The sequence below is a fragment of the Homo sapiens genome, chromosome 1 (assembly GCF_000001405.40).
Source record: "Homo sapiens chromosome 1, GRCh38.p14 Primary Assembly".
Lineage (NCBI taxonomy): Eukaryota > Metazoa > Chordata > Mammalia > Primates > Hominidae > Homo > Homo sapiens.
In genome coordinates, this window is record NC_000001.11 from 12,268,324 (window position 1) to 12,290,272 (window position 21,949).

Here is a 21,949-nt window from a genome sequence, read left to right on the forward strand (position 1 = left end):
TCTTTGATCAGTAGTAAAAGAGGGAATGTTTTCTGTTTTGTGCGCAGTGGTTTGCTGTGTACACCAGGGTTTCACTTGAAGACAGCCTGGTCCTCTCTCAGTGGAGCTGCGAACTTGGGGCTAACTGGGCAACCTTGCAGGGTCTTCAGGTCCTTGGTTTCCATGATATGGGAGCTAATACAACAGGCCAGTCTACACAATTCCTGTGGAAAATTAAACAGTCAATCCTGATGAGGCTTTCTATTTTAAAGATAGGCATAAATGTGAACTAATTGAAAAATAATTTAGAAAATGTCTGTTTTTCCAGAATCCCTCACAGGTCTGTTAATAAGGCTATAGTTTTTGCCTTGTTCCGTGTTCTTATTCCTGTTCTTTCCTTTAGCTGCAGATCCAGATGGCCCCGTTTTTGAGATGCTGTATGAGAGAAATCCGGCGCACAGCCACTTTGAGAGGCGGCTCAATGTCAGCACAAGGCCCTTGAACATCATATACAATCCGCAGGCCATTAAAAAAGTAGCAGACTTTTTCTACAAGGGAAAGGTTCATACCTCAGGTTAACTTTTTTGTTTGTTTGATCTTATGTTCCTTTTGAAAAACATCTTTATTGTTATTTCTGGTGTTCTGGACAAGGGTTATTCAGATGCTCTGATAGTGACAAAAAAGGCCTGCAGAGTAAGTCAATAGGGTTGCCCTGTCCTGTTACTAAACCAGGGTAGATATTTGTGGACAGTCTTTTCCAAGAGAAATCTATATCCTTAAATATTTTCTCTTTGTTTGCCTCCATTTAGCGTGTATTTTTTCATACTTTTCATTTCTGTTTTTTTTCCCATTTTTATTTCATATTGTCATTCTGAATAATGGCACCAAAGAATAGCAGCTGTACTTTTTGAAAGCCACTACCTTTGAATCGGTACCTATCTTAAAATATTACCAAGAGTAATTGAAAGGCAATAAAATAGTATGGGGTGGGGGAGTTCATCATCTTTTTTAGGTTTCTCAATTGCAAAACATTCTTATAAAAATAGATGAAAGTACTACAGGCATAAAGTAGTTTCATGATATTGATTTAACCATGGCTGTATGTTCAGCCAGAATTGTAACTGGAAATCTGCATCTTGGAACTGAAAAGCAATGATCTCCATACTTTTTATTTCACTATGACAGTGGTTTCCTTGGCTACCCAGGATATTTTAGACCAGTGAACTGAGGAGGAATGTTCAAGAATTTCCTTCTAGATGACAGGATCAGTGGTCTCTTTGACCTCCTTTGTGCAGCATTAAATACTGCAAAGTTGTAAATGTAATCACTGATTTATTTATGCCTCCGTTTGTTCTCCAAGAAGATTTGAAACAGTAGGTGCAGAAAAAATACTTTTATGGACAGGGAGATTTATAAAACAATAGTATTTTCCTAAATGTCCCTTCCCCCTTTATTACAATGAATCTGTTTTAGTTTTTGGACTAGTTTTTTAGTCTCTTCATATAAACAGTAGCCATAAATGCCGTGACTTCATTGCTCTGTCACTGATAGAATATAGAAGGTGGCCAGGCACAATGGTTCATACCTGTAATCCTAGAACTTTGAGAGTCGAGGCTGGGGGATTGCTTGAGCCCAGGAGTTTGAGACTAGCCTGGGCAACATAGTGAGACCTCATCTCTACTAAAAATAAAAATAAAATAAAATTAATCAGGCATGGTGCTGTGTGCCTGTAGCCCCAGCTACTCGGGAGGCTGAGGCAGAAGGATTGCTTGAGGCTGGGAGTTCGAGGCTGCAGTGAGCTATGATTACACCACTGCACTCCAGCCTGGGCAACACAGCAAGACCCTGTCTTAAAAAGAAAGAATATAGAAAGGCTGGGTGTGGTGATTCACACCTGTAATCTCAGCACTTTGGGAGGCTGAGGCAGGCGGATCACTAGAGGTCAGGAGTTCAAGACCAGCCTAGCCAACATGGTGAAACCCTATCTCTACTAAAAATACAAAAATTAGCTGGGTGTGGTGGTGTGCACCTGTAATCCCAGCTACTCGGGAGGCAGGAGACTCGCTTGAACCTGGGAGGCGGAGGCTGCAGTGAGCCAAGATCATGCCACTGCACTCCAGCCTAGGAGACAGAGCGGGACTTTGTCTTAAAAAAGAAGAAGAAGAGAAAAAAAAGAATATAGAAGGCATTTCCTTTGAAATTCCATTTTCTCTTTCAGTGCTTTTTAAGAATTTTGAAATATAGTAGTTTGGAATCTTTCAGAAAATGGCTTAAGAAATTCTAGTAACTTAGGTACACTTCTCTCACTTGCCTCCTCTCCCCCCATGGCTGTCCATTCACTTACGCTTTTTTGTCTCATTCCTGTTACCCTGTATTATGCCAGGTCATACTGGAGTAAGAAACTGTTGTTACTGATTTGTTTTTTTCCTTGAGACAGGGTCTTGCTCTGTCACCCCAGGCTAGAGTGCAGTGGCGTGATCACGGCTCACTGCAGCCTCAGTCTCCTGGGCTCAGGCATCCTCCTGCCTTGGCCTCCCAAAGTGCTGGGATTACGAGTGTGAGCCACCATGCCCAGCCTGATTTTTTTTTTTTTAAGCTTTGATGGACATTCTTGGTGAGAATTGATGTAGCACTTTTGTTCACCCAGCCGTGTGAAAATTCTGACTCTGCTGTGTATTTCCAACCTTGCAGGTTTTGGTTATCAGTCTGAACTTGAGCTGAGAGTGGCTGAAGCTGCCCGAAGACAATATAACAAGCTGAAGATGCAGACCAAGGCAGAAATCCGGCAAACTCTTGATCGTTTGCTAGTGGGTGATTTCATTGTAAGTGGGCATCCATAAACACTCTTTGGGGATTGGGGAAGGGGCAGGAATTCTTTCCGTCAAGTCACTACTTACTGTAGATAGGCTTACTTATATCAATTATGCTGACTGAGTAAACTGAAAATATTAAATCCTTATCAGCTAGCATAGAATAGAATCTTGTGTCTTTTATAGTCAGGGTTTAGCTAATAAAATGAATGACTGTGACTAGATTCTGTGTCTCCTTGCACCAGGATGAGGTTACTTTCAAGACTCATCTTTGTGCTGGGTGCTATGGCTCACACCTGTAATCCCAGCACTTTGGGAGGCTGAGGTGGGCAGATCACTTGAGGTCAGGAGTTCGAGACCAGCCTGGCCAACATGGTGAAACCCCATCTCTACTAAAAATACAAGAATTAGCTGGGCATGGTGGTGGGTCCCTGTAATCCCAGCTGCTCAGGAGGCGGAGGCAGGAGAATCACTTGAACCTGGGAGGCGGAGGTTGCAGTGAGTCGAGATTGCACCACTGCACTCCAGCCTGGGCAACAGAGTGAGACTGTCTCAAAAAGAAGAAGAAAAAAAAAAGACTCGTGTTTGTTCCATTTTCCAGACCTGATACTTTGTGCATGTTTCATGTGAGAGTTTCTCTTTTTTGCTTACTGTTACCAGAAGAGACAACTGGAATGATGCCCCAGCTTCTATTCTAGGGTGTGATGATTAGGTACTTTGTGATGCCAAATGGCCAGCTGCCATGAGGATGCCATAGATAGGGAGGGCCAAGAGACATCTTCACAGTCCAGTAGGTAGGCTGGGCAAGGTGGCCCATGCCTATAATCCTGGCACTGGGGGAAGCGGAGGTGGGATGATCGTTTGAGCTCAGGAGTTCGAGACCAGCCTGGGCAACATAGTGAGACCTTGTCTCTACAAAAAATAAAAAAATTAGCTGGGCCTGGTAGCACATACCTGTAGTCCCAGCTGTTCAGGAGGCTGAGGCGGGAGGATTGCTTGAGCCCAGGAATTGGAGGGTGCAGTGAGCTATGATCTGCCCTCTAGCCTGGGTGACAGAGTGAGACCTTGTCTCAAGAAATCAAAATAGTCCAGTAAAGCACAGTTTCTCAGGTGACATGGAGGTGCACTGCTACAATACAGCAGCAGGTGGCACAGTGAGAAAAAGTGTGGCTTCTTTTGGACAGTGCAGAGTAAGTTATAGGTGTCAGAGAAGCAGAAATGATCCAAGTAAAATGTGGTGTGTAGTATGGGATGGAGAATTAGTCCTGTTTTTTGTTTTGGTGTGTGTGTGTGTGTGTGTGTGTGTGTGTGTGTGTGTTTCTACATAAAGTATGACAATTAGTATTCTTGTAAACAAAAGAGGTTTCTTTTTGGTAATGTAAATTAGCTTTTGCCACATACATACAGTTGAGGCTGATTTTGGTTGGAGGGAAGAACAATGAACAAATCATGAATTGGTGTGTTATTTATATTTCAAATGTCAAAGCTTATGTTTCTCACTAAGATATTTTGGCATGGAAGTTCATGGTTACCAATGCCCCTGAATAAGTAAAAATGTTTAGAATTCTATGTTTATTTGAATTCTATAATTTCTATAATCCTTTAAAGTATTAAACCCTGTAAATTAGAAACAAAATCTTTCTTAAGTACAGACTCTCCCCTATTTAGTTATTTGCTATTTTTTTTCTCCCCTGTTCAGATACTTGTCTGTGGTAATTTCTCAGATCCTCAAGCATTTACATCTACTTTTGTCTTAGACTTTTTGCTGTAATACATTAGATCACTGAGTCACTCCATAATCCTAGCTGCAGCTTCCAGAAATGCTTGAGCACCATGGATAAAGCTGTTGGGTTTCGGCAGTTATGGTTAATGACTGTTTTATTTGTACAGGAGGAGAGTAAACGATGGACCGTGCGGCTGGATATTTCTGCCCCTCAGGTGATATTTCCTGATGATTTCAAATTCAAGAATCCTGTGTTAGTTGTCGTGGATCTAGGAAGAATGCTTTTGACGAACACCCAAGGTATAGTGTGAGTGGGAAATAATGAAAACCTGCCTTGGTAGATGGATGATCTATCTATGATTATCTAAGTAAAGCTTAATAAAATGTTTATGTAACATTTTTATATGTAACATTTTTAAACTTCAAGGTTCATCTGTAACTTTTTAAATAATGAAATAATGAAAACATATCTTGGTAGATCGACCTGTCTATGATTATCTAAGTAAAGCTTAATAAAATGTTTACATAACATTTTAAGACCTGAGGGTTCACTTGTTACTTTTAAAATAATAGCTTTATTGAGATAATTCTAAGTTTTAAATGTATAGTGCGGTTGTTTTTGGTATGTGGATAGAATTGTGCAGTTCTCACTGCTATTTAATATCGGGAGGACTTTTGCATCTTCCCCGACTGAAACTCTGTGTGTACCCATTAAACACCAATTCCCCTTCTCGCTCCCCATCCCCTGGCAACCACTAATCTTTCTGTCTCTGGATTTGTCTGTTCTGAACATTTCATATGATGGAATAATGCCATATGTGGCCTTTTTTGTCTGGCTTTTTCGTTTAGCATGACATTTTCAAGGTTATTCTGTGTTGTAATATATACCGATACTTCCTTCCTTCGTATAGCCGAATAATAGTCCATCGTGTGGCTGTTCCGCGTTTTGTTTATCCTTTCATTTGTTCATGGCCATTTGAGTTGCTTCCACTCTTTTGCTATTAGGCATATTGCTGCTGTGAGCATTCATGTACAGGTTTTTGTATAAACATATATTTTCTTTTTCTTTTAAATTTTTTTTCTTTTTTATAGACCCCCATTTCTGCAATGTAGACATATATTTTTAATTCTTTATTTACCTAGAAGTGGAGTTGCTGAGCCATGTGGTAACTCTATGTTTTAATATTTTGAGGAAGTACCAAATTGTTTTTGTTTGTTTTTTTGAGATGGAGTCTCACTCTGTCGCCCAGGCTGGAGTGTGGTGGCGCCATCTCAGGTCACTGCAACCTCTGCCTCCCAGGTTCAAGCAATTCTCCTGCCTCAGCCTCCTGAGTAGCTGGAATTACAGGTGCCCACCACTATGCCCAGCTAATTTTTGTATCTTTAGTAGGGATGGGGTTTCTCCACGTTGGCCAGTCTGGTCTCAACTCCTGGCCTCAGGTGATCCGCCCACCTTGGCCTCCCAAAGTGCTGGGATTATAGGCGTGAGCCACCGCACCTGGCCAATTTTTTGTATTTTTAGTAGAGACAGGGTTTCGCCATGTTGGCCAGGCTGGTTTTGAACTCCTAACCTCAAAGTGATCTACCTGTCTTGGCGACCCAAAGTGCTGGGATTACAGGTGTGAGCCACCACGCCCGGCCAATTTTTGTATTTTTAGTAGAGATGGGGTTTCGCCATGTTGGCCAGGCAGGTCTCGAACTCCTAACCTCAAGCAATCTGCCTGTCTTAGTCTCCCAAAGTGCTGGGATTGCAGGTGTGAGCCACGATGCCCAGCCCCAGTGGTGTATTTTTATAGTTGTCTTGGCGCACTGCTCAGCTGGAGAAAGAGGAGCTGATTGTGGACTCTGGGGCCACACAATTGCATATTGATCAGTTACCGCTCACCAAGCACTACCTCGGCACTAGGAAGACTGTGTTGACCAAGAAAGATGAGACCTCTCTTCTCTCAGAACATTCCAGTGGATGCTGGGCCGTGGTGGCTCATGCCTGTAATACCCAGCACTTTGGGAGGCTGAGGTGGGTGGATTACATGAGGTCAGGAGTTCGAGGCCAGCCTGGCCAACATGGTGAAACCCTGTCTCTATTAAAATACAAAAAATTGGCCAGGTGCGGTGGCTCACGCCTGTAATCCCAGCACTTAGGGAGGCTGAGGTGGGTGGATCACCTGAGGTCAGGAGTTCGAGACCAGTCTGGCCAACATGGTGAAACCCTGTGTCTACTAAAAGTACAAAAATTAGCCAGTCATGGTAGCAGGCACATGTAATCCCAGCTGTCCGGGAGGCTGAGGCAGGAGAATCTCTTGAACCTGGGAGGTGGAGGTTGTAGTGAGCCAAGATCATGCCACTGCACTCCAGCCTGGGTGACAGAATGAGACTCCATCTCAAAAATAAATAAAAATAAATAAATAAAAATGTAAAAAATACAAAAAATTAGCCGGGCATGGTGGTACATGCCTGTAATCCCAGCTGCTTGGGAGGCCGAGACAGTAGAATCGCTTAAACCTGAGAGGCAGAGGTTGCAGTGAACTGAGATCGTGCCATTGCACTCCAGCCTGGGTGACAGAGTGAGACTTCACCTGAAATAAAAGAACATTCCAGTGGGGGAAACAAATGAACACACAGAAAAAGGAAAAGAAATAAAAGACTCTAGAGAGGGACGTAAGAAAGGGTTGGTGAAAGCAGCTCACGCCCATGGCAAGGCAGGGGAGAAGTGGGGAGGCAGCATTGGGTCAGCAGGTGGCGCTCATGTCAGGGGGCCTCCAGCTTTTTTCGTGTCCATACTTTTTTATATTTGTGTTTTGATTTCCAAATTTATAGGTAAATTCACACTTAGAAAATGGTAAACAAAGATATTATGCTTAAGAGTTTTCCTCAGTTTTCTTAAACAAACTGGGGTTGGTTGATTCTCTACCTTTCATAATTATTACATTAAGGGAAAGAGGAGGGAAATAGCAGACATATATTTGAATCTTCTTTTTTTTATCTTCAGATAACTCCAGGAGGAAAAGTAGGGATGGGTCAGCATCTGAAGAGACCCAGTTTAGTGATGATGAATATAAGACCCCCCTGGCCACACCTCCTAACACCCCACCTCCCGAGTCAAGCAGCAGCAACGGAGAGAAAACACCTCCCTTTTCTGGAGTTGAGTTCAGTGAAGAACAGCTTCAAGCACATTTAATGAGCACAAAGATGTATGAGAGGTACTCGCTGTCATTTATGGACCTCCAGATCATGGTTGGACGAGTGAAAGACAATTGGAAGCATGTCCAGGATATTGACGTGGGACCAACACATGTGGTAGAGAAGTTCAACGTTCACCTACAGTTAGAGCGTCGATTGATTTATACTTCAGATCCCAAATATCCAGGAGCCGTGCTCTCAGGCAACTTACCAGACTTAAAAATCCACATTAATGAAGATAAAATATCTGCACTAAAGAATTGCTTTGCTCTCCTCACCACCCCAGAAATGAAAACTTCTGACACTCAGATTAAAGAAAAGATTTTTCCCCAGGAGGAGCAGCGGGGAAGTTTGCAAGACTCCGTAATGAATTTAACCCAGAGCATTGTGTTGTTGGAGCAGCATACCCGCGAGGTTCTGGTGGAGTCGCAGCTCCTCCTGGCGGAATTTAAAGTGAACTGTATGCAGCTTGGTGTTGAGAGCAATGGCCGGTACATTTCTGTGCTCAAGGTGTTTGGTACCAATGCTCACTTTGTGAAGAGGCCTTATGATGCTGAAGTCTCCCTAACTGTTCATGGTTTGCTCCTGGTGGATACCATGCAGACATATGGTGCTGATTTTGACCTTTTGATGGCTTCACATAAGAACTTGAGCTTTGATATTCCAACGGGAAGCCTTCGGGATAGCAGGGCCCAGTCTCCTGTCTCTGGACCGAATGTGGCCCACTTAACTGATGGAGCTACACTGAACGACCGATCAGCTACTAGTGTTTCACTTGACAAAATTCTTACCAAAGAGCAAGAGTCCCTTATTAAGTTGGAATATCAGTTTGTGAGTTCAGAGTGCCCATCGATGAATTTAGACAGTACTCTTCAGGTGATTTCCCTACAGGTGAATAATTTAGATATTATCCTCAATCCAGAGACGATTGTGGAGCTAATTGGTTTTCTTCAAAAATCCTTTCCCAAGGAAAAAGATGATTTAAGTCCTCAACCTTTAATGACTGATTTTGAAAGAAGCTTCAGAGAACAAGGAACTTACCAGTCTACATATGAACAAAACACTGAGGTTGCAGTGGAAATCCATAGGCTGAACTTACTGCTTCTTCGGACAGTGGGCATGGCAAATAGAGAGAAATATGGCAGAAAAATTGCAACTGCAAGTATAGGTGGCACCAAAGTTAATGTCTCAATGGGTAGCACGTTTGACATGAATGGTTCTCTTGGCTGTTTACAGCTTATGGATTTGACACAAGATAACGTTAAAAACCAGTATGTTGTCAGCATTGGGAATTCTGTAGGCTATGAAAATATCATCAGTGATATTGGCTACTTTGAATCTGTGTTTGTCAGAATGGAAGATGCAGCCCTCACTGAAGCTTTGAGTTTCACGTTTGTTGAGAGATCTAAACAGGAGTGTTTTCTCAACCTGAAGATGGCTTCTTTACATTATAACCACTCTGCTAAGTTTTTGAAGGAGTTGACGTTATCCATGGATGAACTGGAAGAAAATTTTCGAGGTATGCTGAAAAGCGCAGCCACCAAAGTCACCACAGTACTAGCTACCAAGACTGCCGAGTATAGCGAGATGGTATCGCTCTTTGAAACTCCAAGGAAGACTCGGGAACCCTTTATCTTAGAGGAAAATGAAATATATGGGTTTGACCTAGCTTCGTCTCATTTGGACACTGTAAAGCTAATCTTGAACATAAACATTGAATCACCAGTTGTTTCTATCCCTCGGAAGCCGGGGAGTCCTGAGTTGTTGGTGGGACACTTGGGACAGATATTCATCCAGAATTTTGTGGCGGGAGATGATGAATCCAGAAGTGACCGTCTGCAGGTGGAAATCAAGGACATTAAACTGTATTCTTTGAATTGCACCCAGTTGGCAGGTAGAGAAGCTGTTGGGTCTGAAGGAAGCCGGATGTTTTGCCCACCTTCCGGGTCTGGCAGTGCCAACAGTCAGGAGGAAGCTCATTTCACACGACATGATTTCTTTGAATCTTTGCATAGAGGTCAAGGTGAGGAGCATCAGTCTTTTGTTCTATTTTGTTTAATGATTGAAAACCCAGCTCACGGAGTCCTTTGCGTAAAACAGCAACAATAAAATCCTTTTCTTTTAGAATAATCCTCAGTTAATATTTAAGAAATCAAAGAGTTTTAATAGAATGCCTTGTAGTAGGTTGGCATGTTTTCACCCTTTTCCATTTAATGTCATATTTGACAAAACAGGAATTTACTTACTTTTATTTTTATTTTTTTGGTTTTTTGAGACGGAGTTTTGCTCTTGTTGCCCAGGCTGGAGTGCAATGATGCAGTCTCAGCTCACTGCAACCTCTACCTCCCAGGTTCAAGTGATTCTCCTGGCTCAGCCTCCCAAGTAGCTGGGATTACTTACAGGCACCCGCTACCACGCCCGGCTAATTTTTGTATTTTTAGTAGAGACAGGGTTTCACCATGTTGGCCAGGCTGGTCTCGAACTCGTGACCTCAGGTGATCTGCCTGCCTCGGCCTCCCAAAGTGTTGGGATTACAAGTGTGACCAGCCGCGCCCAGGCAGGAATTTATTTTTTTGAAGTGTTCCAGCTTGAAACTGTATGAGTGCTCATTTACAGAGATGCTTCAGTGGATGGATGTTGTTAAAGTATTGTTTAATTTGGTCAAATATATCTGATTTTCTGTTCCCAAGCTGTCGATCCTTCCTAGTTAAACATTTTAGCCCAAGATGCCTCAAGGGGTTGATGTAAATAGTTTGTGGATATTATCTTCTTTAATATTCTGCCATCTTCTTCTATAATGGGTTGGTCCAAGGTTCTAAGAATAAAAGCTTATGTTTGTATTCTGGATCTGATCAGCTAAAACCAAACAGTCCAATCTGTTGGTCTTGGCACGCAGAGATCAGGTAAGTCCTAGAGCACGCCTTTATTTATTGGTGATGAAATTAATGCCTTTGAGAACTTACCCTTCTGTGGTCATCAGATGTTAATTCACTGATTTGTTTTTATACTTATCAAAAGATAGCTTTCTCTGCTTGGATAAAAGTTGTTTACTTAGAACTTGTATTGTCCTAGATTCTGATTTAGGCCTAATAAGAGGGATACATCTGTATCTGAAAGCTAGGTAAGGATGAATAATTCGGTTTGGAAAATGCCAGCTTGGGTGGCTCAGAGAAGCATAATGTAGTCTCTGGACTGGAATAATGTTCACCACATCGTGCTTTGAAGCTACCAAGTGGAGCATGTGATGAAAATATTGTTTCTTTTTTTGTGTAAATGTATCTTGTACCTCAGCTTGCTATGAGTTTTGGCCTCAGGATAGCTGTCAAGGTTTGCTCTCAATCATAGACCCCGGGTGCCAGGCTAACCTGCCCTCCTGGTCTAAGTGTAACTCATGGGCTGTATTTTGTATATTCTACGTTTAATCAGCAGTAATGAAGTAAATATTAAGGTTTATGGTCTATCATTTCATCTCTTTTATGCCAGCTTTTCACATCCTGAACAACACCACCATTCAGTTTAAACTGGAGAAGATCCCTATAGAGAGAGAATCTGAATTGACTTTTTCTCTTAGCCCAGATGACCTGGGAACTTCTAGCATCATGAAGATTGAAGGAAAATTTGTCAATCCAGTTCAGGTAAATTCATGTCAGGGCAGTTGAAGTCATATGTTTATATTAGTACTCTATAAATATGATATATATTTATGTATATTACATGTTGGAAGGAATATATATTTTCAAAGATATATCACCCATGCATAATACCATTGTTGAAACCTTGTTCCAATAATTGTGGAATCCTTTTGTCATGGGGAATCCGTCTTGTCAGCCTTTTTCATATGGAGGAGGGGTGGGTTATCTAGAGGAAGACGGCAGATTCTTAATTCCATTGACATTCAGAAATGGGGAAATGATTGCTTACAAAGTCAGAGTCTCCTTTCCCAGGAGGATATCATTCTTGTCACACTTAGACATACTTAACACAGCCAGTGAAACATTGTGATCATCTGAGCTGTGGACAGATCCTTTCAACAGAGAATTAGTCCTGCCCTCTCTGAAATGAAATGGGCCAGGATAGGGATTTCTTTTTTTATGGGCATGCATGTATGTATACACCTTTTCTTTTTTTTCCTTCAAAAGTGTCATTTTCCCTGATTTCACAGGGACGAGAGCAAAGAGTAGTACATTATAAAACAGCAGTGACAGGCAGGCTCTTAGGACGGTCTGTGGTCTGTGTCTGGCACAACAGTAGTTGGTCTGTGTCTGGCAGCTGTTCTGGAGTAACCCAGGAGTGCTGTTGATGGAGTGGGCCTGCCTTTTGACATTTGTGGTTCCTCCCAGGGGTCTCTGGGACCCCTGAGAGAACTACTCCAAAGCTTTCCCTTCTCAGACTAAGCTTTTGCCCCATCAGTGGTAGCTACCAGGACAAATTTTTCACCTTAAATCTAGCATGTGATGTAAATTCTATTGGATTATGTTGACTTACTTTTTTTTTTTTTTTTTTGAGACGGAGTCTCAGGCTACAGTGCCAGTGGTGTGATCTTGGCTCATTGCAACCTCTGCCTCCCAGATTCAAGCAGTTCTGCTGCTTCAGCCTCCTGGGTAGCTGTGATTACAGGCATTCGCCACCACACTGGCTAATTTTTGTATTTTTAGTAGAGACGGGGTTTCACCACATTGGCCAGGCTGGTCTTGAACTCCTTGCTTCAAGTGATCCTCCTGCCTTGGCCCCCGAAAGTGCTGGGATTACAGGTGTGTGCCACCATGCCCGGCCTATGTTGACTTATTTTTATGGTTACCATTGACTTAACTGTTGTTTTGATGAAAATCTTAAAAACGTTATTGTAGATAATTCTTTCTTTAAAAATAATTAAGATAATTATTTGAATTCTTTAATAATTGATTAGTAATTAATTTAATAATTTAATTTTTTAAAAAGTTGATTATGAAAGAATGTAAGCCTATACAAAAGTGGAATAGTCTAATGAGCTTTATGTGCCCATCACTCTGATTCCACTTATGAAGATTTTGCCACATTTGTTTTATCTATTTTTTTTTTTTTTGGTGAAATATTTTAAGGTAAATCCCAGATGTCATGCCATTATCACCCCTATGTATTTAGAGTGTATTTCCAAAAACTAGGTGCTTCTTCTTACATAACCACAGTGGTATTTCATGCCTTACAAAATTAATGAGCATTCTTTGATACTATCTAGTCGATTTTCAGATTTCAGAAATATTTTGGATCATTTCAAAAATGTCTTTGTTTTGGGTTTGTTGGAATCAGGATACAGACAATTGGAAGCATTGCATTTGGGTGATACATTGTGTAGGTCTCTGTTCATCTAGTTTCCCTCTCTTTTTTGTCCCCCCATGTCGTATTTTGTTGTGGAACTAAGTCAGTTGTCCTGTGGAATGTCCCACTTTCTGGATTTGGCTGTTCGTGTGCCACTTAATTTGTTCTCCCACATATTTCCTGTAAAATCTATAGAACAGGTTTAGTTCTATAGGTTTGACTGGATTCGGGTTTCTTTTTTGGCAGGGGAGTTGGGAGGTAGACTTCAGGTAGGTGGTGCTGTATACTTCATATTACTTTATATCAGGAGGCACATAATCAGGTCTTTTTTCTCTCTTATTGATGTTAAAGTGGATAATTGTATTTAGGTGGCAAGAGCCTTGATTTCTCCATTGCAAAATTCCCTGTCAGTCATTCACATAATGGTTTATTCCACTAATGAACTTCGATGGCACACATTATTTAATTAGGGGTTACAAAATGGTCACTTTTTCTAATTCCATCATTATTTCTGTATCTATTGGTTGGAATTCTTCTGTTAAAAATTGCCCTTCATTAAATAAAAAACTTGCCTGAAAATTTTTTTTTTTTTTTTGAGACAGGGTCTCACTCTGTGGCCCAGGCTGGAGTGCAGTGGCATGATCTCAGCTCACTGTGTCCTGCACCTCCTGGGCTCAAGCGGTCCTCCCACCTCTGCCTCCCAAGTAGCTGGGACTACAGGCCTGTGCCACCACACTCTGCTAATTTTGTATTTTTTGTAGAGACAAGAGTTTCACCATGTAGCCCAAGCTGGTCTTGAACTCCTGGGCTCACACAGTCTGCCTGCCTCGGCCTCTCAAAGGGCTGGGATTACAGACGTGAGCCACTGTGCCTGGCTGAAAATATTTTTAATAAGAAATTGTAATTAAAAATGAAGCAAAGGAGAAAGGAAACATAACTAATCATGGATCATCATCATTTTTATCTAAAAAGTACTACCAGTACTAAACATTGGCTGTTACTCTAACTGGTGATGATCAGCCAGTTTTAGAACCATGAACCTTGTTTCTCAATCCTGTGGTGTATCCACGCCAGACTTTTGTCAACACTCTTCAGTTTCTGCATTCATTTTTGTGGGGTCAGAAAAAGTGACTTTGTTGATTCAGGCATAATCCGCAGTACTTATTGAACTCTTATTGTATGTAGATTATTGTGTAGGGTGCTGAGGGAGGGCCTTGTGAACAGAAGTGGGTCATAAAGAGGTAAGGACAAAATAAATGAAAAGAGATAGTCTTTGCTATCAGGTAACTTACAGCCTCATGTAGGAATCATGTGGCAACTGTAGACATTTATGGGCATTACATCTACGTGCATTTAATAATAAGAGTAACTGAATTTTTCTCTTTTCAATACAGGTGGTGTTAGCAAAGCATGTATATGAGCAGGTTTTACAAACCCTGGACAATCTCGTGTACAGTGAAGATCTGAATAAGTATCCAGCCAGTGCTACCTCCTCCCCTTGCCCTGATTCTCCTCTGCCTCCCCTCAGTACCTGTGGAGAATCTTCTGTTGAAAGGAAGGAGAATGGATTGTTCAGCCACTCCAGCCTTTCTAACACCTCTCAGAAGTCATTGTCAGTGAAGGAAGTCAAATCCTTTACTCAGATTCAAGCCACCTTTTGTATATCAGAGCTTCAGGTTCAGCTAAGTGGAGATCTGACTTTGGGGGCCCAAGGTCTTGTGAGCTTAAAGTTTCAGGACTTTGAGGTGGAATTCAGTAAAGACCATCCCCAGACTTTATCTATTCAGATTGCCCTGCATTCTCTGCTGATGGAGGACTTATTGGAGAAGAATCCAGATTCTAAATATAAGAACCTGATGGTGTCTCGAGGAGCCCCTAAGCCATCTAGTTTAGCACAAAAAGAATACCTTTCTCAGTCTTGCCCCTCAGTGTCCAATGTGGAATATCCTGATATGCCTCGGTCTCTCCCTTCCCACATGGAAGAAGCTCCTAATGTCTTCCAGTTGTATCAAAGGCCCACCTCTGCGTCCCGGAAAAAGCAAAAGGAAGTCCAAGACAAGGACTATCCCTTGACCCCACCTCCTTCTCCAACAGTGGATGAGCCCAAGATACTTGTTGGAAAGAGTAAATTTGATGATTCCTTAGTCCACATCAACATATTCTTGGTAGATAAGAAACATCCAGAATTCTCTTCCAGTTACAATCGAGTTAACCGGAGCATTGATGTTGATTTTAATTGCTTGGATGTGCTGATCACACTGCAAACCTGGGTTGTGATATTAGACTTTTTTGGAATCGGCTCCACTGCAGACAACCACGCAATGAGGCTGCCTCCTGAGGGCATTCTGCACAACGTGAAGTTGGAGCCACATGCCTCCATGGAGTCTGGACTTCAGGATCCAGTGAACACCAAACTGGATCTCAAGGTATCCTCAGTTCCCTTTGGCTCCCTTAAGCTCTAAAAATGGATTTGGGCTTGTTGATTTAAATACAAGCACTTTACATTTACTTTGGAAAATATCTCTTGTTGGCAGGGGAGCTATCTAGTCTTCTAGGTGTTTGCTACGAAAGGTAGACATGAATATTTTGGGAAAGGTTTTACTGTAAATCCCATCTGGAGGCAGGGAAAATAAGTGGTTTAAGAATCTTACCTTTCCTTTGAGCTCTATAATTCAGTGGAGTTACTTTGCTTCTCTGAACCGTAGTTTCCTCATCTTCCATCATCTAAGATGACTAAATGAGGTGATGTGTGGAAGGCACCTAGCAAAGTGTGTAATCTGTAATAGCAACTTTAAAGTGTGGCTTTTGTTTCTGTCTCCCCATTCTCTCAGAACATTATTTGCTTGCATTGAGGGCAACAGCGTAACTGTTAAGAATGGTCTCAAAAGTTGGACTCCGTGAGTTTGAGTCCTGGTACTTTCACTGTACCCATATAGCTATGTGACCTGGGGCAAACCACTTGGCCTCTTTTGCCCTTAATGTTTTCATGAGTAAACTGAGGATGTTCAGTGGTGCCCCCATCATAGGGTTGTTGTAAGGCCCTCCACACAGTGTGTGGCACACAATAAGGATTTAATGAATGGTAGCCATTATTATTTTTATATTACATGGATTACCATACTTATAACTTGTCCTTGATACTCATACTGTAAGTATTAAGAAAAAAACCATAAAAAAGACAGCATTTGAGTTTAAGGCTATTCTGCTCTGTGTGATAGACCAGTAGGATGTGAAAGCAGTTAACCTGAATAGCCCATTCGAGGGCACATAGGCCTGCTGTCACTAGCACTCGTCCAGAGCCCTGGAACCCCGGCCGTGGCTGGTAACATTTGTGTGCCTCAAGGATGTTCTTTATCCACATGTCTTAGCATGTGTGGACTTGCACTTCCTGCTGGGGAGAAGTCAGGGAGGAGAATCACATTTTATCCTGTTGCCATTTTCTTATTTCCCTTGCTGATAGTAGGCCTCATTCCTCTAGAAATGGAAGACATCTCAGGGTAGAGATGGGAAAGGACCAGCTTACCTTTCTTGTTCAGTGTCTGGTGAATGAATGACTTTGCAGTACTCCGAGGCCTCTGGTACTTTTGGTTTAGCAAGGTGGATGGAACCTGGAGAGGCGTTAGCCATTCCTTTGGGCTTCATGTGTCTGTACCTGGAACTTTATTCTTGCAGTGTCTGTGATGATCTGCGTCAGGAACTCTTTGGTGTTGAATATGCAGTGCTCCCAGAGGGCTTTGCCTTGATTGATGTGGCTGGTTCTACAAGGGAATAGGACTGGATAAGTGTTCCTCAACAATGCATTTTTTAAAATAAGAATTTTTGACAAACATTTTTATTGTGAAAAAATTCAGATACATCACAGAGAAACAGTATAATGAACCCCCATTTGCCCAGTCCTATAATTCATCACATTTACTTTATGCCTTTTCTTCTTTGCTGAAGTATTTTATTTTATGTATTTATTTATTTATTTATTTATTTATTTATTTTTTTTTTTTGAGACGGAGTCTCGCTCTGTCGCCCAGGCTGGAGTGCAGTGGCGGGATCTTGGCTCACTGCAACCTCTGCCTCCTGGGTTCAAGCAATTCTCCTGCCTCAGTCTCCTGAGTAGCTGGGATTACAGGTGCGCGCCGCCATGCCCATCTAATTTTGTAGTTTTAGTAGAGATGGAGTTTAATCATGTTGGTCAGGCTGGTCTCAAACTCCTGACCTCAAGTGGTCTGCCTGCCTCAGTCTCCCAAAGTGCTGGGATTACAGGAGTGAGCCACTGCGCGTTGCCTGCTGAAGTATTTTAAAGCAAATTCCAGATATATCATTTCACTCTACATACGTCAGTATTTATTTCTAAAAAAACAATGGACATACCACAATGCATTGTCACGTCCAACTAACAAGAATTCCTTGGTATTTTCTAACACCAGTCCATAATCAGATTCTCTGATTGTCTCAAAAATGCCCTTTTATTGGTGGATTGTAGAGGAATGAATGGTTTAAGAAACTTCTTGTCTTTCTATTCTGTTGGTCTCTATAATTCAGTAGAATACTGTGCTTTTGTAAGCCAAAGTTTTCTCATTTACAAAATAAGGAGAATTAAATAAAATGATGCATGAATTTCTTTCTTCCTTTCCTTTCCTTTCCTTTCCTTTCCTTTCCTTTCCTTTCCTTTCCTTTCCTTTCCTTTCCTCTCCTCTCCTCTCCTCTCCTCTCCTCTCCTCCTCTCCCCTCCCCTCCCTTCCCTTCCTTTCCTTTCCTTCCCTTTCCTTCCTTTCCTTTCTTTCCTTCTTTTCGAAGGAGTCTTGCTCTGTTGCCCAGGCTGGAGTGCAATGGCATGATCTTGGCTCACTGCAGCCTCTGCCTCCTGGGTTCGAGCTATTCTCCTGCCTCAGTCCCTCGAGTAGCTGGGACTACAGATGTGTGCCACCACACCCTGCTAATCTTTGTGTTTTTAGTTGAGATGGGGTTTCACCATGTTGCCCAGGCTGGTCTCAAACTCCTGGCCTCAAGTGATCGGCCTGCCTTGGCCTCCCAAAGTGCTGGGATTACAGGCATGAGCCACTGTGCCCAGCCTGATGCATGAATATTTTTGAATCAGGATCCAGGTAAGGTTCCATGTTACATTTGCTGTCATGTCTTTTAAATCTCTTTTAATTATAGTGTATCTGCCCCCCTCCAACCCCACCGCCTATTGACTTGTTACAGAAACTGGATTAGTGCCTTGTAGAGTGTCCCACATTTTAGGTTTGTCTGTTTTCTTGTTTGACTGTTTGACTTCTTTTATCCTCTATTTTAACAAGTGGATGTTAGCTCTAGAGACCCCATCAGATTCAGTTCAGCTTGGTAAGAACATGCCAGAGGGGCTGCTGAGTGCTTCCTGTTGCATTGAGGCAGGAGGCATACAACGTCTGATCATCATCTGTTAGTGACACTAAGATTCGTGGGAAGAGCTGGTTCAAGTGGTGGTGGTGGTGGTTGGATTCCTCCAAACAAAGCATTTTTAGACCCAGTGTACATGTTCTTTTGGTAAAATTAAATGACTAGAGGTTTTCATTATTTTTATTTTATCTTTTTGAGACAGGGTCTTGCCCTATCACCCAGGCTGTAGTGCAGTGGTGCGATCTTGGCCCACTGCAACCTCTACCTCCTGGGTTCAAGCCATTCTTGTGCTTCTGCCTTCCAAATAGCTGGAATTACAGACACCTGCCACCATGCCCAGCTAGTTTTTCTGTTTTTAGTAGAGACGGGGTTTCATCATGTTGGCCAGGCTGGTCTTGAACTCCTGACCTCAAGTGATCATCCTGCCTCTGCCTCCCAAAGTGCTGGGATTACAGGTGTGAGCCACTGCATCCAGCTGACTAGAGGTTTTTAATTTCCCCATGATGATCTCGCCTTGAGATTCCTTCTGTGCCTGGGTCAGTGTCAGAAATCATACTGCAAGGGAACTGGAGTTCCCCCCACAAAGTCATTGCTCCAGCTATAGTAACCCATTGCTTTTTCTCTGTCTTCTTCTGTAAATGATTTTTTTTCTTCCTTTCCTTCTATTACATTCCTTTTTTCTTTTCCCATCTTTTTATCCTCCTGATTATTCATGCACCAGACATTTCTTGAGTACCTACTTTGTGGCAGGCACTGAAGACAAAGGGGTGAAGGCATGGTCCTTGCTGTTAAGGAGTGGAGGGTGTGAATTGAAGATTAAATCTGCTCTCAGTCTTTTCCTCACTCCTTCCTTCTCTTCCATCAGTGTTTTGTCCCCTGTGATGTTACTCAAAGCAAAAAAGGTTGTTGGGAACTGACTCAACAAATCCTAGACATATAAGATCTTTTTAATAGTTACAATTACAATATTGCATTATGAAATTTATTTGTTACAAAGAATGCTACTTCCAAGACAGGGGATTTTTTCTTCTATTTGTAGTTGTCCCTAGGAAAGAAAATCTTTGATTATGGCTTTTAGGTGAAGTCTCAGTTGGTTAATGGTGGGCTTCTATTAAATATTTGTTCAGAGGCAGTAAATGGGATTCTAAATCATATTTATCATTTTGTTTTGAAAAATTTATCAAAATGAGATTTAATGGATCTGTTTGAGTTACTATAGAATTGTATAATATTAATGATGAATGCCAAAATGAGAAAAATTATTTTTATAATGTAAAGCATCTCATGAACAGAAAATAGACAAGGCAAGCATAGAGAAGGCACCACAGAAACTGAAATTTAGACTGTCCAGTCTCCGCCCTGTCCTCAGGTCGTGGTTTCTCTGGCTTAAGAAAGCTGAAGTGAAATTGGCATTGTTAAAAGCATTACCTTCAAGTTTCCCAAGCCTTTTTGCATTTTCCTTGATTGCTCTGCCGTTTTCCTGAAAGATACCTTTTCTCCCCAGTAATATTGGCCTTGCTTTATCTTGTCTGTTCCTAGGTTCATTCACTTTCTCTAGTGCTGAATAAGACCACCAGTGAGCTTGCCAAAGCAAATGTGTCCAAATTAGTAGCACACCTGGAAATGATTGGTAAGTGGTGGGGGGTGGAGGGAAGCAAACTTGCAAAATCTGGTCAGCATTTGAACATTGTGATCACAAATTGATTGTCCTCACGTGCTGAGTAAGGTGTGGCAGTGGCTTGATTGTGGTTATTAGTCTGGCCAGGATTCATGGTGGTGGTTCCCAAATGCTGGCTTATGGATCAGAATCATCTGGATAGCTTGTTAAAAGTGCAGGTGTTGGCACAGCCTCTTCCCTCCTCCTGTCTCTCATCTCCTTCCCAAGAATCTGATTAAGTTGAGATGGAGCCCTGGTGTCTATCTGTGTTTTCAACAGACTCTATCTAGGGTGCCCATATAACTTTTTTTTGGTTCAAATTGGGATATTTTTGAGAGTTAAAGGGGACATCATTAATATAATTACCCCTAGAAAACGGGCATACAACAGGGCTGTCTCTGGGAAACCAGAGGATATGACTGCATCTAGAGTCATAAATTGGGGGAGCTACCAGTAGAGGCCATGGTGTTATGCAGGAGGACATTGTAGCAAAGCTGGCATTCTTTATTCTGTGTTTTTGAGACAGGATCTCGCTTGGTTGCCCAGGCTAGAGTGCAGTGGTGCAGTCTTGGCTCACTGCAGCCTCTGCCTCCTGGATTCAAGCGATTCTTTTGCCTCAGCCTTCCAGATAGCTGGAATTACAGGTGCATGCCACCATGCCCAACTAATTTTTGTATTTTTGGTAGAGACAGTGTTTCACTGTGTTGGCCAGGCTATTCTCGAACTCCTGACCTCAAGTCATCCTCCTGCCTCTGCCTCCCAAAGTGCTGGGATTACAGGTGTGAGCCACAGCACCTGGCCAGCATTCTCTCTAATGGGACTTTGTAAGTTAAAATTCTTAGTTGAATACAAGTGATCAACTACATCAGGTTCTAAATAGTAGGATTTTAAAAAAATAATATTTTAACTTATTTTTTTAAACTATAGAGACAGGGTTTCGCCATGTTGGCCAGACTGGTTTCAAACTCCTGGACTCAAACCATCCATCCACTTTGGCCTCCCAAAGTGCTGGGATTACAGGCGTGAGCCACCGTACCCAGCCTTTAGTAGAGATTTATGAAATGTGAAGTAAAACATTTTTCCTTTCCTAATTATCAAAGATTACAAAGCTCATGTTGATGCTGTAGTAAAAACAAGAATGTCTTTTGGGGAAGGAATGAACTGAGGCTGAGGTTTCATGCCTTGTGCAATTATTTTAGAAAAGCTTCTTAGAGGAGATTGGCTTTTTTTTTTTTTTCCTTCTTACAGCGTATTCCTGTTAATGGCCTTTAAGATTGGTAAAAGCTTGGTTATTTTTGTTAGAAGACATTAGGTATCTAAAATAAGTATGTGGCTGGGCACGGTGGCTCACGCCTGTAATCCTAGCACTTTGGGAGGCTGAGGTCAGGAGTTTGAGACAAGCCTGGGCAACATAGTGAGACCTCATCTCTACAAAAATAGTAAAAATTAACCAGTTGTGATGGCCAGTGCCTGTAGTCCCAGCGACTCAGGAGGCTGAGGTGGTTGGATTGCTTGAGCCTGGAAGGTCAAGGCTGCAGTGAGCCATGATTGTGCCACTGCACTGTAGCCTGGGCGACAGAGTGAGACCCTGTCTCAAAAAATAAAAAAAAAAATTGTGTTTTCAATTCATTGGGAGCTGAACTAGCATGCCAAATATACCTTAGTAATTGTTTTATCACGATAATTATGATAATAAATTTTGTTTTACAGAGGCAACGGTTCAGAATATTCCTTTTTAGTATCCATACAGTGTTAATAATGACTCATTATAGATTCACATTCTAGTCGTACATGTTTCAGTCACGTCTTCTTTCTTCTTTCCACCTTCCAGAAACTTCACTCATATATCAGAGTAGTTTCAAATCTGTGTCTCCAGTGCCTATCTACCTCATTAATTTTGGTCTTTCATTAAATCATACTAAAACATGCTTA

At 41.9% G+C, this 21,949-nt stretch overlaps 1 protein-coding gene across 2 annotated transcripts in view, besides 1 other annotated feature; it reads left to right on the plus strand.

The window, feature by feature from the left end:
* Positions 1-21,949, plus strand: part of VPS13D (vacuolar protein sorting 13 homolog D) — a 282,018-nt gene that overhangs the window by 38,294 nt on the left and 221,775 nt on the right. For both annotated transcript variants that reach the window (NM_015378.4, NM_018156.4), the window contains exons 16-22: positions 383-553; positions 2,671-2,801; positions 4,680-4,812; positions 7,502-9,715; positions 11,176-11,327; positions 14,382-15,413; positions 19,900-19,990. In NM_015378.4, coding sequence (NP_056193.2) covers positions 383-553; positions 2,671-2,801; positions 4,680-4,812; positions 7,502-9,715; positions 11,176-11,327; positions 14,382-15,413; positions 19,900-19,990 — 3,924 coding nt within the window. The remainder of the gene's footprint in view (positions 1-382; positions 554-2,670; positions 2,802-4,679; positions 4,813-7,501; positions 9,716-11,175; positions 11,328-14,381; positions 15,414-19,899; positions 19,991-21,949) is intronic.
* Positions 19,754-19,823: an enhancer, noted in NCBI's record as "active region_212". NCBI's record gives its function as "activates an Ori minimal core promoter by ATAC-STARR-seq in GM12878 lymphoblastoid cells {active_cell/tissue: GM12878}" and the evidence as "EXISTENCE:reporter gene assay evidence [ECO:0000049][PMID:35858748]".